General features: G+C 51.9%; 1 protein-coding gene and 1 long non-coding RNA gene across 2 annotated transcripts in view, besides 2 other annotated features; one reads left to right on the plus strand and one right to left on the minus strand.

The window, feature by feature from the left end:
* ACCSL (1-aminocyclopropane-1-carboxylate synthase homolog (inactive) like) overlaps nucleotides 1–17,072 on the plus strand; it is a 138,910-nt gene that overhangs the window by 1,301 nt on the left and 120,537 nt on the right. Inside the window, exons 2-3 of the mRNA XM_047426927.1 lie at nucleotides 8,774–8,919; nucleotides 10,722–10,778. The gene's annotated coding sequence lies outside the window, so the exon portion shown is untranslated. The remainder of the gene's footprint in view (nucleotides 1–8,773; nucleotides 8,920–10,721; nucleotides 10,779–17,072) is intronic.
* On the minus strand, nucleotides 4,683–11,556 carry LOC124902663 (uncharacterized). Its single transcript, XR_007062657.1, has 3 exons — nucleotides 11,352–11,556; nucleotides 6,080–8,988; nucleotides 4,683–5,990 (listed from the first exon to the last, which is right to left on the minus strand). It is a non-coding gene; the product is annotated as an uncharacterized LOC124902663 (long non-coding RNA).
* Nucleotides 5,717–6,218: an enhancer, noted in NCBI's record as "H3K4me1 hESC enhancer chr11:43949635-43950136 (GRCh37/hg19 assembly coordinates)". NCBI's record gives its function as "activates a minimal SCP1, AML or CMV promoter by ChIP-STARR-seq in naive H9 embryonic stem cells {active_cell/tissue: H9 hESC(naive)}" and the evidence as "EXISTENCE:reporter gene assay evidence [ECO:0000049][PMID:30033119]".
* Nucleotides 11,489–11,667: a silencer, noted in NCBI's record as "fragment chr11:43955407-43955585 (GRCh37/hg19 assembly coordinates)". NCBI's record gives its function as "represses an EF-1alpha promoter that drives an FKBP-Casp9 reporter gene in an ReSE screen in phorbol 12-myristate 13-acetate-treated (for megakaryocytic differentiation) K562 erythroleukemia cells {active_cell/tissue: K562(+PMA)}" and the evidence as "EXISTENCE:reporter gene assay evidence [ECO:0000049][PMID:32094911]".

Consider the following 17,072-nt stretch of genomic DNA (forward strand, 5'->3'; position numbering starts at 1 on the left):
GGCGAAATGGTCTGCTGAGCACTCCCGGGAGCCTGAGCCTCAGGGCTGGCTCCTGTGGAGCTGGTCACAGCTGACCACAGGCCACCTGTTTGTTCCCTGACTTTCCTGTTCATCAGGGCAGGCATCTGCATCTCATCTTTCCTTAATCAGCATCAGCATCCTCTAGCCAGAAACTGCTGGTGACTGGACTAGCAGTTGCCCATTTCATTGGGGAAGCTCCTTTTGAGGGGACAGAATCCAACTTCTGGTGAGTTAGACAAATTCTCAGCCAACTTTCCTTGATTTTCTGGCAAGTGTTTCCTGACCATATCCACCTTCAGAGATATGAAACTTTTAGAGACAGATAAGTTTTCCCCGGTGGTCCTTTCTCACCTCATTCTTACCTGTGAATACACTTGGGGACCCTGAATGACACCCAAACTCATAGCAGGCTTTTTCACAATACTTACCAACACCATTACTCCAGTCAGCAGCCCAAAGAAACATCAGGCTCCACACTAAAAATGTCTTCTTTATAACAGGCAACTTGCTTCAAACATGGGTTGGAACACACACTTAGCACCAGATTGCATCCCCAGTGTTGAAATCAGGATCCACATTGATCCATCATTAACCCACTAGCTCGGGTGGCATTGACAATTCCTGATAAGTTTGAGTCACAGCTAATAAACCTGCCCTTTCCTTGTGGCACCCACTCTCTGCCTCTGTGGCTGATGTGATCCTGCCCTAGTGCGTGGCAGGTCTGTCTGGACACAGTCACTATAGAGCCGTCTCCTGAATTGTGTCATTGCAATGCTGAAAGAGTTAAGTAGGCCCTGCAGTGCGCTGAATGCTCCAGTTGGAGGGTTTCAGAGAAAGTCTTGACAAACGACGGGTTCCTGCCCTGCTGGGAATATTTCTTCTTTGAGTTCTGGCAGCTATTACTTGGCTGCAGAATATCTAAGACCCACTTTGCCTTTTCTGGTCATAAACACTTGTAGTGTTGAATCTTAAGTCTTGATTATTTTTTTTAATGGTGGCTTTGGTAAAGCTGAATGTTTCCATAGTGATGCATTCTGTTTATTTAAAACTTTACTTATACATGATTCCACCCACACGCTCTCCTCAGAGGGACCTGGTCTACAACTGCCCTCTTTCCCAACCCCATTTTCTGTTTGGAAGGAACACGCATGTGAGACCCTTGTCAGACTGGTGCTGCTTGAATCCATTCTTAGATGTGATTCCTGCATCTGGGTGTCAATAGGGAAATGACTTCAGTGTTTATTTACTACAGTGACTAATGGTGCCTTTTCCAGCTGGTCTAAAGCTGATGTGCCTCCATTTATAAAAGCCTTCCCCAGCCTGTGAATAGAGCCCCATGTTGGGCTGAGCTGTCTGTTAGTGTTTAAGCTGGAGCGGGAAGAGGAGGCAGTGTCAGAGCACAGTGGAGGAAAACAGGATAAATTAGGCTGTAGCTTCGTAGCCAGCACTACCAAGAAGGCTGTTTTCTCAAATGAGCCTGCTTGGAGCTGGCAGAGGCCTGTGTGTACGACGCTGTTAGGATGATTTCTGTGCCATCACTCCCCCTCATAGGAGCAGTGATGTCACGCTCTCTCAGCACAAGGACAGTCCCTATTCTCATGTGGCCTCCAGGAATGTGGACACGCCTTCACTGCTCTGGCTGAGCCCACTGACTTTTAGCTCTGGATGCAAATTCTGGTATCTGAAAGGGAAGGAAAGGGGAAAGTGGGGAGGGAGCTTACAGAGTAACTACTCCCTTGGGACCACAGCATCCATAATCTGATTTATTCCTAAAAGAAATCCTATGGCTGTTTTTGTTTTTTCTAAACACCTGAGGAAACTGAAGTACCCAGAGGATTTATCAGATCTGGGATCTGGTGTCCGCAGTGGTCTGGGAGAGACAGCCCTGGAGGGCTAGCCCAGCCGTGCCTGCTGCTGTGGCCTGTGGGACCTCCCGTCCCCCAGCCCTGGCCCTGGGGCCGGCAGCCTGGGTGGTAGGAGCGCTGCAGCCAGAGCCTCCTGTGCCTTTTTCTGGGAGCCCCAGCGGGAGCTCACCACTGGCCAGGTAGTGGGAGGAGGCGGTGGGCGCCTGAGGGCCTTGTGACCGTGTTGTGAGGTGCTGCTCCCCGCAGGAAGGACGGGGGCAGGCGAGTGGGACAGGGACCTGGAGGCCGGAGGCCGGAGGCCGGGAACCCAGTGCTAGCCCCGCAGCCTCCAGGCTATGTGTGGCCAAACCCGTTCCTGCGGCACAAGAGGCGGAGCCAGAAGGGCCACCTCGCAGGAAGGCACCCAGGCCCCTCGCACCCTGGGAGGCCAGCTGGGTCATCGCTGCCTGAGTCTGAGCCACCTGCCTGGGGGTTCGGTCAGGACACCAGCCTCGCCACCAGTCCGCACTTGGAGGATGGCCACGGGGCCCCCTAGGGGTGAACCCACCAAAGGCGGATTCTGCAATCAGGGCTCCTGCAGGCCTGGAGAATGTGGAATAGCTGGAGGAAGGATTCCATGGGGCCGTTCAAATGGGCAGAACTTAGGAAAGTCAGAGAGAGGAGGGGAGCCCCACAGAAGTGTCTCCTTCGGGTTGTTTCCTGGAATGTTTCCTCTGAAAACATGTCAAGGGACTAGCCACCAGTTTCTTCCCAGCTTTCTCTCTCTTTCTCTCAGACTTTCAGCCTCCATTCACCTGGAGTGAGAGGGAAAGGAGGACAGCTGGCCTGAAGGTAAAAATCAAGAGGGGAGGCATGAATGTGTGGCTTCTTGCTCCCCTAGCCTGCCCAGCTGTGCCCTCCTCCAGGCTTCTCTGCTGGGAGGAGGGGTGCAGAGAGGAGAGCTGGTGAACTCCCGTGCACATACTGCCCTTTGACTCCCTAAAGCCCTGTGGGGTGTCGGTAGGGGACTACTTGAGAGTAGTCCCTATCAAATGCTTAGGCCAGTGTTCTTTCTGCCACTCTGAGAGGCCTGGTGACAAGAGGGAACATGGGAAACAAGCAGCCCCAGAAGGTCACGGTGCCTACTGGGACAGCCCTCCAAGGAGTGGTATTGATCGTCTCCACGCTGCACCAGCCAGGTGGCTGGATATGTGGCAAGGATCCCTGCTGCAGCTTGAGGTAGCGTCGTCCTCCTGAATCTAGTGCCAGCTGAGCTCTGCACCAACCGATGAGGGGAATTAGCTGGACAATTTCAGACAAGACTGGCCCCGTTCGCTTTTGCAAGGGGGTACATGCTCCCTCTTACGGTCACAGTACTGCCTGCAAGGGTAGAACTGGGGAGCAGCTCTGACACCCCACCCCTACCCTAGCCTCCACATCTGCCGGAATGACTGTCTGAGCCCTGTGGGGAGAGGTGGAAGGAGCCTAGGCTTCAGTCAGGTGGACCCAGGGTTGAATCCCAGCTCTGCCCTTTCTAGCTGAGTCACCTCAGACCAGTCAGCCTCCAAGCCTGTTTCCTCCACCGTGAAATGGACTCAGAAGCAGCCCCCTCTTGGCGGTCCTGTGAGGCTTGAGACCATGCATATAGTGCCTGACAGTAACCCACTTAGTAATATGATTTTTTAAGTGCACCATTTCACATGCCCTGCTAACCCCAACCTTAATCCTTATGCTGGGTGGGCGGTCCTTCTGTGGCTGACGGATGGCCCTGTGACCCTGCCTTTCCCCTTGGCAGGCTCCCCTGGTGCCCTCGTGTCTGTTGCAGTCAGCAAGGGTTGGGGAGTGGGGTTGGGCAGAGGCTTTCTGGAGAATGGCCAAAATGAAAATTGTGTGCGAGTGGAGCTGATCATATTAAGATCCAGCTGCACTTAAGTCCCCCTCTGGAAGTTCTTTAGGCCAAACTGAAGAGAGCTCCCAGATGCCAAAGTGGCCTTGCGTTGATGCTCTGCTCACTCTCGGCGGCCCCACCACATGCTCCCCAGGTAATTGGTTTCCTAATGCACTATCCCTGGACAGATTCCAGGATTCCAGTGCCTTGTCCCCTTGGGGTCAGTTCTTGACGTTTCCTAGCCTGGCAAGGGTCGCCGACCAGGCTCAGATGCACCCCCACAGGACTGTATTGTTTTCTCGTTCTTGCAGGCCACTTTCAAACTCTGTACAGAACGCCTTGGCCTGCAAGAGTAAACAAGATTACCAGGCTGGAATTCTGTTCAAGACCAGGGCTTTTATATCCAGAGATTGTGGGTCAGATGCGGTGAGGGATACGTGAAAGGAAGACACAGTGCCTTCCATTACAGATAGAAGTAAACCCATGTGGCTTCTATTTTCCTTGGCAAAATTAGTTTTTTCTCCTTACTACAAAAGAGGTTTGTGTTCTTTGCAAGAAATTAAAAAGAAAGATAAAAAGAGAAAGCGTTTGTAACTTCACAAGCTAGACATGGCAACTCTTTACATTGGTGTGTGTGTGTTTGTGTAAGACAGGGTCTCACTCTTTTGCCCAGGTTGGAGGGCAGTGGTGCAATCATGGCTCACTGCAGCCTTGACCTCCCCGGGCTCAGGTGATCCTCCAACCTCAGCCTCCTGAGTAGCTGGGACTACAGGTGCACCCCACCACACCTGGCTAATTTCAGAATTTGTTGTAGACGGTCTTGCCATGTAGCCCAGCCTGGTCTGGAACTCCTGGGCTCAAGCGATCCGCCCCCCATCGGCCTCCCAGAGTGCTGGGACTACAGGCGTGAGCCACTGAGCCCGGCCAGCTTTTCACAATTTGCAGTATATATATTTTTTCTACACATTTATGTGCTTTTTAAAAGAAAAAATTACCATCTTACTGAACTAATAGTTTTGGGGCCTTTTTCTACTTAGGTACATTGGTGCCTGCCATTAATTCTTGTTCTATGACATCATCTTGAGTGGCTGCATAGTGTTATATACAGTTGTATTGTTATTTAACCAGTTCCTTTGTGTTGGATTTAGATGGTGGTTGGTGTTGATGCTGTTTTTGATATTAGTAACCCTTTTGTTGGTTTTGGAAATCACGAGAATGGAGGGAGGGAGGTAGGGAGCCCATTCGGGCTTTGACTTCATTCAGACTTCAATTCAAATAATAAAAAGAGCAGGTAACACTTTTGAAAAGCTGCAATATGTACTAGGCACTGCATTCATTGCTTTACATATAATCAGTGCCTGATTTATGAATCCTCACAGCAGCCCATAGACTAGGCACTATTTTTATCTCCATTTTACAGTTAAACGGAGGCACAGCTCTTCCACTGGTGTGGCTGGGTGCAGTCCTGTAGCTAAACCTTTGAGTACATCTCTGATTGTTTCTTAGAATAAATTCCTAAAAGTGGGGTCGCTGGCCCAGATCCGGAAGGCTATGCATATTTTAAGGCTTTGAATACATAATGGAAATGGCTTTCCAGAAAGAGTACACCAATTTATCCACCTGCCAGTGGTGTTTGAGCAGATCTGAGAAACTCCTGCCCTGCTTGAGCACTGACTGTGTGCTGGGCCCTATGCTTAGTCTTTTATACCATTTCCCTCCTCAGAGAAGAAGCTGTCCTGTGCCTGGCACAGAGTAAGCAAGAACTCAGGACATCTCAGCCAGTATGGGTGGTGGTATTATACTGTGTGTAATTTGTTGAGAAAACAAGACACACACTTGGAAAACATCAATAATAAGGTGAAAGTGGAACAAGGGGTCCTGATGATGAGTCTTAGAGCTGGCAGAATATGAGGTGGTGGCCAGGGAAGTCTGCCTGTTGGAGGAGGCACTTGGAGAATGGGCAGGAGCACCCTGTTAAGTGACAGCTGAAAGGCTGATGAGCAGGGAGGGACCCCTTGGTAGCTTATGTTGAGCTGGAGGGGAGACGGTGGGGGAGGAAGATGGGCCCACATCAGGCGTAGGAGCTGGCTTGGGCAGAGGTGAGAAGACCTGGGAGAGAGACTGCAGGAGTCCAAGTTTGAGGCTGCACATGTGGCCTGGGGGACACCTCTAGGAATGGTGAAAAGAAAAGATGTCGGATTTTCTAGTGCTGGTAACACCCCTTCTTCCCATGAGTGCTGAAACAACAGAAAAACAGACACAGGACTCAGCTACGAGGTCAGCATATCAAGGTTATTACTGATAAGGCCGGGAGACCTTGGCTTACCTCCATGACCACAGTCAGACTTCTTGATATGCCTTCACCCTATCAAGGCCTCAGGGTACCCCATCCGAGGAAACAGTCTGTGCTGCAGGCCCGGTCTCTGCCAGCCGCCAGGAGGATCGCTGCCTCCCTTGGTGAGCCTGCGAGTGGGGAGCGGAGGAGGTGGGCCTCCAGGTGTGCTTCTCAAAGGTGGATGCTGGCCCTTCCCCATGGAGGACGCAGGAGCTGGGCAGCGGGCACTCTCTGTAGACAAGCAGCTCAGAGTGGCCAGGAAAGGGCCAGATTCCCTATGCCCCCAGCTCAGCTCCTTCTCCCAAGCTGCTTATAAGTCATTCCTCCGCTCTCGGGAAAGAGAGTTAGGGAGGCTGGGAAAAGGATGGAAGCTGCCTTTCCGATATTCTTCCCTCTTGGGAATGGAGCGTTCCTCTCCTCATTGCAACACAAGGTAGGAGAGGCAGCCACTGCCCCCATGCTGGCTGTTGCTCATCCCAGCCCAATCCAAGATGCTTCAGAGGAAAGACTGCCAGCAACCAGCCAGGCAGGATGGTGCTGTGGTGGCAATTTTAGTCCAGTAGACCTGGTTCTAGTTCCAGCTCCTCCACTGACTGCTACATGGCCTTTGGCAAATTCTTAGCCTGAGTTTCCCCATCTTCTATAAAACAGAGTTGTTCAATTGAGAGAGACAAAATGTATCCGTCTCAGTACCGGCAGCTATTCTTATGAAATAGTGTGTGAATGCGAAGGAAAGAGCTTGTGTGGCCTTGATTTTTGTTGTTGTTTTTTGCTTTTGTTTTGAGACAGGGTCTTCCTTTGTTACCCAGGCTGGAGTCATTGGCACAGTCATGGCTCACTGCAGCCTTAATCTCCTAAGCTCAAATGATCCTCCTACCTCAGCCTCCTAAGTAGCTGGGACTATAGGCACATGCCATCATGCGCAGCTAATTTTTAACATTTATTTATTTATTTATTTTACTTTATTTTGAGATGGAGTTTCACTCTTTTGCCCAGACTGGAGTGAAGTGGCACGATCTTGGCCCACTGTAAACTCTGCCCCTGGGTTCAAGCAATTCTCCTCCCTCAGCGTCTTGAGTAGCTGGGATTACAGGCACCTGCCACCACGCCCGGCTCATTTTTGTATTTTTAGTAGAGATGGGGTTTCGCCATGTTGGCCAGGCTGGTCTAGAACTCCTGACCTCAGGTGATCCACCCACCTTGGCTTCCCAAAATGCTAGGATTACAGGCATGAGCCACCATGCCCGACCGCTAATTTTTAAATTTTTTGTAGAGATGAGGTCTTGCTACATGGCTCAGGCTGGTTTCAAACTCCTGGCCTCAAGTGATCCTCCCTCCTCAGGCCTCCCAGAGTGCTGGGATTACAGGTGTGAACCACCGTACCTGGCCTCTTGTGTGGGCTTTGGGCAGGTCTTACAGCCATGGAGCAACGTCTGTGTAGACGTGTTGAGAGCAAGGACTTGGGGAAAGGGAGGACCCAGCCTGACCAAGAGAGACTGAGGAGGAGGGTGGAAGGGAGGGCAGAGAGGGACCTCAATCTGAGCCATTCTGACTGTTGGTGGGAAGAGGAAACGCAGAGAAAGCAACAGAGAAGGAGCAGCCCTGAGAGGAAGGCACTCCCGAGAGTGTCTGTCCCAGCAGTCAGAGGCAGGGCCGGATTCCCACCTGGCCCCCAGCCCCTGTGAAGCCCTGGATTCTTCCCCTCTAGCCTGGGGTAAGGCCTGGCAAGGTGGTTAGTGTCCAGAAAGACAGTAAGAAACCTGGCCTGTGTCCTGGCATAGAACACTCTGGATCTTTGTCCTGCCTCTGGCTCCTGGGAAAAGCCTCTTCCTGCCCTTGGTCTCAGTTTTCCCATCTGTAAAATGTAGGGGTTGAGCCATGATATGGTTTGAATATTTGTCCCCTCCAGATCTCATGTTGAAATGTGACTCCCAGTGTTGGACCGGGCCTGGTGGGAGGTGTTTGGATCATGGGGGTGGATCCCTCATGAATGGCTTGGTGCCCTCCCCATGGTAATGAGTGAGTTCTTGCTCTGTTATTTCACGCTAGAACTGGTTAATTAAAACAGCCAGGTATCGCTCTTGCTCCCTCTGTCACTGTGTGATATATGCCTGATCCTGCTTCACTTTCTACCATGAATAAAAGCTTCCTGAGGCTTCACCAGAGCCAAGCAGATGCTAGTGCTGTGCTTGTACAGCCTGCGGAATTGTATACAGAACCTCTTTTCTGTACACATTACTCAGTCTCAGGTAGTCCTTTATAGCTATGCAAAATGGACTAATACAAACCAACTTAAAAATTGTTTTTAGCTCCTTTGACCACAACCCATGGTAAAAAAGAAAAAAAGTTTTCACACACACACACACATGCACACACGCACACACACTAAAACTAAAGCTTCATGAAACAATACTGTATGTACTGTATGGCATATGTTTACTCTGATGTTTTGTGTTCCATTGTATATTGTTTAAAAATGCTGACCATGGCCCCCAAACTGATTGTACAGCCCGTTGATGAGCCACACTCCGTGGTCTGAAAACACTGACCCAGCTCATCTAGAAGGTTCCTTCCTGCTCTGGCAGGCTGTAGTTCTGTTCCATTTCCTGTGGCCTTACGACCCCATCAGCCAAGTCTTTGTGGTTTTCTTCTTTGTACTCTTCTAACAGTGATTTCCAATCTCAGACTCTGCACTGAAGGCATGGTCATGAGCCCAGCTGCTGGAGGTGTACCCCCCACGCCCCTGTCTGAGCAGCGTGAGGCCTTCGAAGCCGCCTGCTGGGGCGTCATGAGTGGGGAGGGGCCTTCATGCCTTCTGCCATCATCACAGAGTAGGTTTGGGTGTCATCCACACTCCCCTCCATGCCCCACCGCAAGACTCTACTGCATCAGTCTATTCCCTGGAAAAATGGTTGGGATTTAGAGTCTGGCTGCCAGTTAGAATTCTAGACCCTTCCCAGGCCCAGCTAGCTCCCTCTTCACCCTCTCCCTCTGCCCACTGAACCCCTCCCTGGGCAGGTCCAGGGGTCACCACTGTGGGAGGTGCTGATGGGTGAAAAGAGCTTTGGCAGCAGATTGACCTGGGTTTGCATCCCAGTGCCACTTCTGCCTGGCTGTGTGGCCTTGGGAAAGTTCCCTGACATCTCTGAGCCTCTTTCCTTGAACAAAGCTTGGAGATAGTCGTACTGCTCTGGGAAGATACATTTAAGGGTGAGATGATAGGCACAAAGTGCTTTTTGTTGGTGCCTGGCAAGAGTTAGGTGCTCAGGAAAAATTCATGCCTTTAAATCTCGTCCCCTGCGCGTCCCTTTAAGGGAATGGCTGGAGAAATGACAGCTGTTGCCATCTTGAATAAAGTAGGGGAAGATGCCTTCCACAGGGGGGCAACATCAGGAAGAGGCTGTCTCAAACAGGGTGCACCAGGAGTAATCCCATCCAGCCCCAAACCTGTCCTAAAAGTGCAGAGCCCAGTGCAGCAGCACCCTGGTGTTCACAGGGCAGCCTGAGGCTGTGTCTGAGGAGAAGCACAGGCAGGCCTTAGGGAGAACGGGCTCTGGGACCCCAAAAGTGGGCCCATAAGGATGACGGTGTGTCCTATCCTGGGGCCAGGCTTAGAACCTTAAATGACAGGGCATCATTGCGACCCTAATTCTTGGAATCCATTAAAAAATTCACCCTCCTGTGTGGCCTCATTTTATCTCAGTATGTTTTCAAAAATGTCTGGTGAGATCCTCATGACTGCCACCCAGGGAGAAGGATGGGGCACAAATGAGACTTCCACAATCCCAGGGTCATGAGAAGACTTTTTTTTCTTTCTTTTTCTTTTTTTGAGACAGGGTCTCATTCTGTCACCCAGGCTGGAGTGCAGTGGCACAGTCTCAGCTCACTGCACCCTCCGCCTCCCGGGTTCAAGCAATCCTCCTACCCTAGCCCCCCGAGCAGCTGGGACCACAGATGCGCACCAACATGCCGGGCTAACTTTTTGTATTTTTAGTAGAGACAGGGTTTTGCCATGTTGCCCAGGCAGGTCTCGAACTCCTGATCTGAAACGATCTGCCTGCCTTGGCCTTTCAAAGTGCTGGGGATTACAGGTGTGAGTCACGGCACCCAGCTGAGAAGAACTTTCTAGCAAACACCAGAACCAAAGTATCGGAGCAGGCAGTCCTGAGATGCTGTTTGCGTGCCCTCATGCTGTTACCCCTTACCAAGGCTTCGTGAAAGTCGTCTTTGCAGGTGTCCTCAGCACCCACAGCACTTTTGTTTTGGTGCCCAACCACAGTAGTAAATTGTTGAAAGGTGGATTTGAACCAAGCTGGAGATAGACAAGGGATGTAAACACCTCCATCACCAGGCCATGCCAGGGAAGCTGCTTCCCAGAACTCGGAAGCGGTTCCTTCCAGGGCTCCTGACTCAATAGCCACCCCCTTTGTCACCTCAGCTCCTGATAGCTGCAGAGCCTAGGGCTCTGAGAGCCAAAGTGACTTGCCCTGGGCCACACAGCTCTAATAGCAGAGGCTGGAGGCGCTTTGGAGGGCTGCGCTGTGTAGCTGGGGCTTGGTACTACCTGGGAAAACCTCTGACCCTCTTGCTTCTGCGTTTCTGGCTCCAGCTGCCCTCTTCTCTGTTTTTCCAGTAGGCAGAAGACTCTGCTTCCAAGGGAGAGACTTATACTTTAACCTTGGAGCATAAGGTAAGTCCCTCAGGCTTGCTTTATGGAATCATGGTACTGGCTCATGGTTTGGTAGGAGCAGCGAAACTTCTCAGAATGCGAGGCTACAAGCCCAGTCTCTATGCTTACTAGCTGGTGGATGTCCCTGGACCTCAGTGTCCCTGTCCACATATGAGGGAGTAATGTCAGATGGACCTAGTCCAGAGAACCAGCCCTCCCAGGGGGCAGCCAGGCTCAAGGTAAAGTCCAGGATGGGGTCCCATCCTGACTCCACCCTGCCTTGCCGCTGGCTGTGTGACCTTGGTCTTGTTCCCTCCCCTCTCTGGTCTTCTCTGTCTTCATCTCAAAAGACAGCAAAGATATTCCTGTTTTGCTGAAGTCAGAGGGGTGAAACTACTTTGCAAAGCTTAAGGGCCAAAAATTGTGAGGGATTTTCTTCTCAGCCATGTAAAGATTCTCAGACCAGTGGTCCCAGAAGAGGAACACTCAGGCCTGCAAGAAAGCATGTGGGAAGGGCTGAGCCACAGACCCTGGGTGGGTGAAGCTGTGCCGGAAAGCAGAACCTTGGCAGGGAAATGAGCTCTCGTTACTCACATCAGCACCCCAGGTCCACAGGCTGGGCTTGATTCTTGGGAGGTCTTCTTGGGAGGTCTCCCTGGGCTGTGGCTCCCTCAGAGTCCCCAAGAGTCTCCCTGCCCCTGACTCCACCCTGGTGTTCCCTGGGACTCATCCTGGGAGTCAGGGGTGCCAGGGTGCCTCCTCCGGTGGGACCAGCCCTGCCATGGCAGCCGCTGCAGCTGGTATCCCATTGCAGTGTTACAGTGAGGCTCAGATTACACAGTGAGCTCATCCCAGCATGAATGGGGCCACCGGGGCGGGGCACTGGAAACTGATGGACCGATGAGGGGGCTGTCACTGGGGGTCTCCCTGGACCCTCTCCCTCCCTCCCTCTCTCCCTCTCTGTGTGTCTTGGACTCTCTTCTTCCCTGTCTCTCTCTCCCTCTCCTCTCTCTCCCTCTCGTGCACACTGACAACCCTTCTTGGAGATTGCCTGGGATTGTCATGGCAACCCTCCAGCAAAATTATCGAAACACTTTTATGCTCCCAGTCGTACCAGACGAAGTGCTAATTCTGAGTAAGGCTGAAGCAGTTGGTTAAATGCTGAAGTCACAGGCTTTGTGTGGAGGGCCCCCTGGGGGTGGAGTGCGCACCAGTGGGAGGTGAGGGCCGGGACAGGGGGCAGGACCACCCGAAAAAGACTCAGTCTCTCGCCTGCTAGAGATGTTGTGTGTGTTGCTTTCCTGTCCCCACCCCTTATGCCACATTCACATTTGCATTCCACACACACACGCGCACACACATGCGCACACACACACGTACAAGCGGTGGCTGGGCCAAACACACCCAAAGTGTAGATGGACCCAAACAGTACCACCTGGAATAATCATCACCTCATTCAGTGCTTGGAACTCTGAGACCCACTCTAGGGAGAGTTCTGGGTGAGGCGGGGGATGGCCAGTTGCCCAGTGCATCTAGCTGGCACCGGGTCTGAGCTAGGGCAACAGCAGCTGTGGGAAGGGGCCTGACCTTCCTGCCTACCCCCCAGGGAAAAGCAGAGGAGGACCTGTGAACGTTCTGCCCCAACCTGGTTCTTCCCACCTTGATGTGCATCCTGGGACACACTGCATCCCTGCTCCCCTGTGACTCACGCCCAGGTTACCATAGGCTGCCTTGGAAACAAAGCCCTGCTAATGGCTGAAGAACTGGTGGTTGCTTTTTTAAAATCCCAGCTCTGCCCAGAAGCCAAAGTGTGGGTAGGGACGATGGGGGAGGTGGTGCACAAGGCCCTCCCCTCTCTGCTTCCATCTCCCCACCCCATCTGCTTCCCCAGGACACCCCTCCATGGAAGCCAGCCTTCCCCTGCAGCCCCGGCACAGGCTGCTCTGGCTGAAGGGGAGGCATCTACTCCTGTGAATGGGTCCCCTCATCCTCCAGAGGATTCTAGGATGTTAGAGCAAGAGGGACCCCCGGCGAATCAGAGTCTGGCCTCCTTGCTTCCCGGATGGGGGAACCGTGGCTCAGAGATTGGAAGCAATGGTTCAAGGCCACAGAGTGTGTACACGCACACACACGCATACACACATGTACAAGCGGTGGCTGGGCCAAACACACCCAAAGTGTAGATCGACCCAAACAACCAACCTGCAACCAGGCTTCTGGATTCCAGGCCAGTGCTGTTCTCATTGCACCAGAGAGACCATAGGATGGGGTGGTGCAAGCAGTGAGCACCAATTTCAGAGGCAGGCAGGCCTGGCCTTGAATGCTGGCTTCAGTGCTCAGCACTTAGTGTAGCCCTGATCAGCCCCCCAGCCCCCTGAGTCCTCAGCTGTAAAGTGGGGTGATGCTTGGGTCCCTCTGGAAGGACACAGTGAGGACAACTTTAATGAGGTGGGATGTGCACGTGCAAAGCACAGTTGGCAAAAGGCCAGACACAGAGTGAGTGTTCGACAGATGACTTTTATTTTTATTTTTTATTTTTTTTAGAGATGTGGTCTCACTATGTTACTATGTTGCTCAGGCTGGCCGGAAACTCCCGGGCTCAAGTGATCCTCTAGCCTCAGACTCCTGAGTAACTGGGACTGCAGACATGCGCCACCATGCCCAGCAACAAATGACATTTCTGTGTCCTTCCTCTGTAGCCCCAGAGCTACAGACCTGCTGAGAAGAGGGACTGTCCTACATCCCTTTTAAGGGCCGACCCCTGTCCCGGGGTGGCTGGGTGAGGCCATGTAGCCTGTCCTGGAAAAGCCCACACTGACCCCTCCCACAGCTCTGAGCCCCTGCAAACCCAGCAAGTCCCAGAGGGCAAGAGGAAGCAGGACCCCCGATGCTGGGCAGGTCCCCAGTACCTAATCCCCCCAGGCCTGCCCACCCTTTGCATCTTGGCTGTCAGGCCTTTGGAGGAAAGAAAAATGTTGAAAGAGGTGTTGATATCCGCCAAGGTCCCCGAGGGCCACGTTTGGGCATCAGCAGTAACAACACCCCAACCTGGTTCACTTCTGCTGTGTGGAACTCCACCCTTGGAGATATGATTAGAGTGCAGCGTTGCTCGGGCTGGCTTCCTCTTTTAAATTGTGAGTCAGGCAGGAGGGTATAAGCCACCAAAACCCCCAAATGCCCTCTGAAGCAGGAATTTCTTGGAACCTTTCCCTGATATCTTCTCAACCAAGTTGGGGGCTGGGTAGGTTTGAGGAGGAGATCATAAAAGCAAAAGGAACTTTTATTTTATGCTTACAACATGCCGGGTACTGTGCTAGGCGCTTTCCTACACACTGGCACCCAGGGGCATTGCTTCTACACACTGGCACCCAGGGGCATTGCTTCTACACACTGGCACCCAGGGGCATTGCTTCTACACACTGGCACCCAGGGGCATTGCTTCTACACACTGGCACCCAGGGGCATTGCTTCTGCTTTCCAGGTGCGGAAGGCCCACCAAGGTCACAGAATGAGTCCATGGCGGCACTTAGGTTAGAATCTAGGTCTGTGTTCTCCTTACCTGATGGTGGCCTTTGGCTGGCTCCTTGGGCAGGGAAGGGCAGAGAAGGCATAAAAAGGCAACGGCGGGGAGGAGTGGTCCTGGCCCTAGGGACATCCTGAGGTGGGGGAGTCATGGCTGGGGAGGGTGGGTGGTAAGCCCCGGGGATCTAGGCAGTATGGGAGCTCGGTCCTCCATGGGAGGTTCAATTTCCCCACCCCCCCCTCCTGCCCTCTTCTAAGAGGCCCTCAGTGAGCAGGGCCCAAGACCCAGGAGGGGATGATCTTATTGCTACTTTGGGACCTCTGCTATGAAGCACGCACCCTCTTTCTTATTTTCACTGCCCTGGGCCAGGATGGGGAACCTCCCATCCAGGGGAGTGGAGGGAGTTGACTTAGGGTACCCTAGTCCCCAGCCTCAGAATTTGGGGTCCAGAGGAGCTGTGTGTGTTGGAGACAGTGTAGCCCCTTGGCTGGCCTGTCAGGAGCCGTGGAAGCAGGGCACATGTGGTAGCAGTCCATGCCACAGGGACCTCTGCATGCCAGCTCTGTGCTGGGTGCTGGAAAGGCAGTGGCCAACAATGACCACCTAGTGGGGAAGGCGGACAGTACAGTGTCAACAGACAAGAAGACCCTTTAGATAATGACAAACATGCCATGAAAGAAAGGGGGACAGAGAGACTGAGGGGCAGCCGTCAGTAGGGTGGCTAGGCGAGGCTTCTTCAAGGAGGTAACATCTGAGCTGAGAACTCTGCAGGGCAGACAGTCAAGTGGCTTGTCCAAGCTCACACAGTAAGTTCTGGGGAAGCCAGACTAGCACACGTCTCTAGACTCCCTTCGAGTGGTCTCCCTGCTCCTAGAAACATCCTTCTCTTGGATTCTGACATGTCTTCCTGTTTTCCTCCTACCCTGTTGAACACTGCTTCTCTGAGTCCTTGGCTGACTCATCCTCTTTCCAGTGCTGGACTGTTCCAGCCCTCCTCTGGAATGTGGGCCTCCACCCCGCCCCCTCCAAAACTGCCACCTCCACCCCTCACCTCTCCCCTAGCTTCAGTGGCCTGCTTGACATCTCCACCTGGATGTCGAAGGGTCTCTTAGAACAATGCTAAGTCCATATAATAGAGACCCCAAGTTAGAGTAGTTTAAAAAGATTCAGTTGATTGTTCACTCCTGTAATCGTTACAGGGGAAGTGCTTCAGGTTGGTGGATAGCTCAGCTCCACGTGGTCATTTAGGGACTCGGACTAATGATGGTGCTGCTATCTTTAACGTGAGAGTTCCAGAATCTCTCTGGTTATTGCTCTTCTGGCCAGCGTGAGGGGAAAAACACAGAAGTCTAGGGCAGGAATTTCTTCTTAATCGAGTGAGGCAGAAGTTGAGCATACTTCTCACATTCCACAGATGAGAGTTTAGACACATGGCCTCCTAGCTGCAAGGAGAGTTGGGTCATGCCACAGCTGGGTGGATAGCTAGCCATCTCTGTCACAGTCTGTCCTCGAGAACAGTGAGGACTTGCCTGCCCTGGCAGCGGAGGAGGTTCTCTGGGGGGGTGACCCCTTATTCTGTGTCTCCCTGACCTTGGCTTTGCCCTTCAACATTGCTTGCCTGTCATTCTCCACAACCACCGACAGGGTGTTGAGAGTCTACCCTCCTTAGATGCTGACTCGGGCTTGAGCAATCATGGGCTTTTGCAGTCCAGCCTTGCAATTTTGTTGGTGATAACAATTCCTTCAGAAACATAGTAGGCTTCATCTTTAGTCAGTTCCTTGAGCCGTGACCACATCCAAAGTTCCTTTCTTGACAGAGTTATGAAGTCTATCTTCCATACCCTTCTGTTTCCCATTCATTTAAAATGAAAGTGGCTGCGTGCAGTGACTCACGCCTGTAATCCCAGCACTTTGGGAGGCTGAGGCAGGTGGATCACCTGAGGTCAGGAGTTTGAGACCAGCCTGGCCAACAGGGTGAAACCCTGTCTCTACAAAAATACAAAAATTAGCAGGGTGTGGTGGTGCACGCCTGTAATCCCAGCTACTCGGGAGGCTGAGGTGGAAGAATTGCTTAAACCCGGGAGGCAGAGGTGCAGTGAACCGAGATTGCACCACTACACACCAGCCTGGAAAACAGAGCAAGACTCCATCTCAAAGTAAATAAATAAATAATAAATAAAATGAAGGCTATCCTAAGGACATCCTAAATAACAGACTTAGATGTAATACCCTTAATATAATACTTTGCCACAGGGGCGATTTCTTTGTTTGGTTTAAAGTTTGGCCTAAGAGACAGGCTTTGAGAGAGGCTCTGAGCCACGATAGTCTGACTTCCTGCTCCTTGGACAAAACCAGTTGGCTTTTTCAATGCTGAGGACACCAGTTTTCTGAATTCTCTGTATTTCTGTGTATCTCTTCTTGCAAACTGGCCAATCTCTTTCTTGTAATATTTTGCTAAAAGCAACATCAAGCAGCCAACACATGCAAATGGCTTCAGCTCTTTCCAACCATTTTTCTAGAATTATAGGCTCAATAGGCATGTGGGCTGTCTTCCAAATGATCACAGGTGACATTTGCAATAAATATTTTGTCCCAGCATAACAAGGTTCACCAGCTTCTCATCCTCTAATATGTTTCCATCTTGCTCACCACCTATTGGCTAAGCCAATGCCACATATTTGAGGGGTTTTATACATGGCAGTTTCCCACTCCTGGTATAAATTTCTATAAGGAGCTACAAAGTACAGTGGTTTTAAGGTTATAGAAATTGCTTTTTCTCTCACATAATACAG

The sequence above is a fragment of the Homo sapiens genome, chromosome 11, assembly GCF_000001405.40.
Source record: "Homo sapiens chromosome 11, GRCh38.p14 Primary Assembly".
Lineage (NCBI taxonomy): Eukaryota > Metazoa > Chordata > Mammalia > Primates > Hominidae > Homo > Homo sapiens.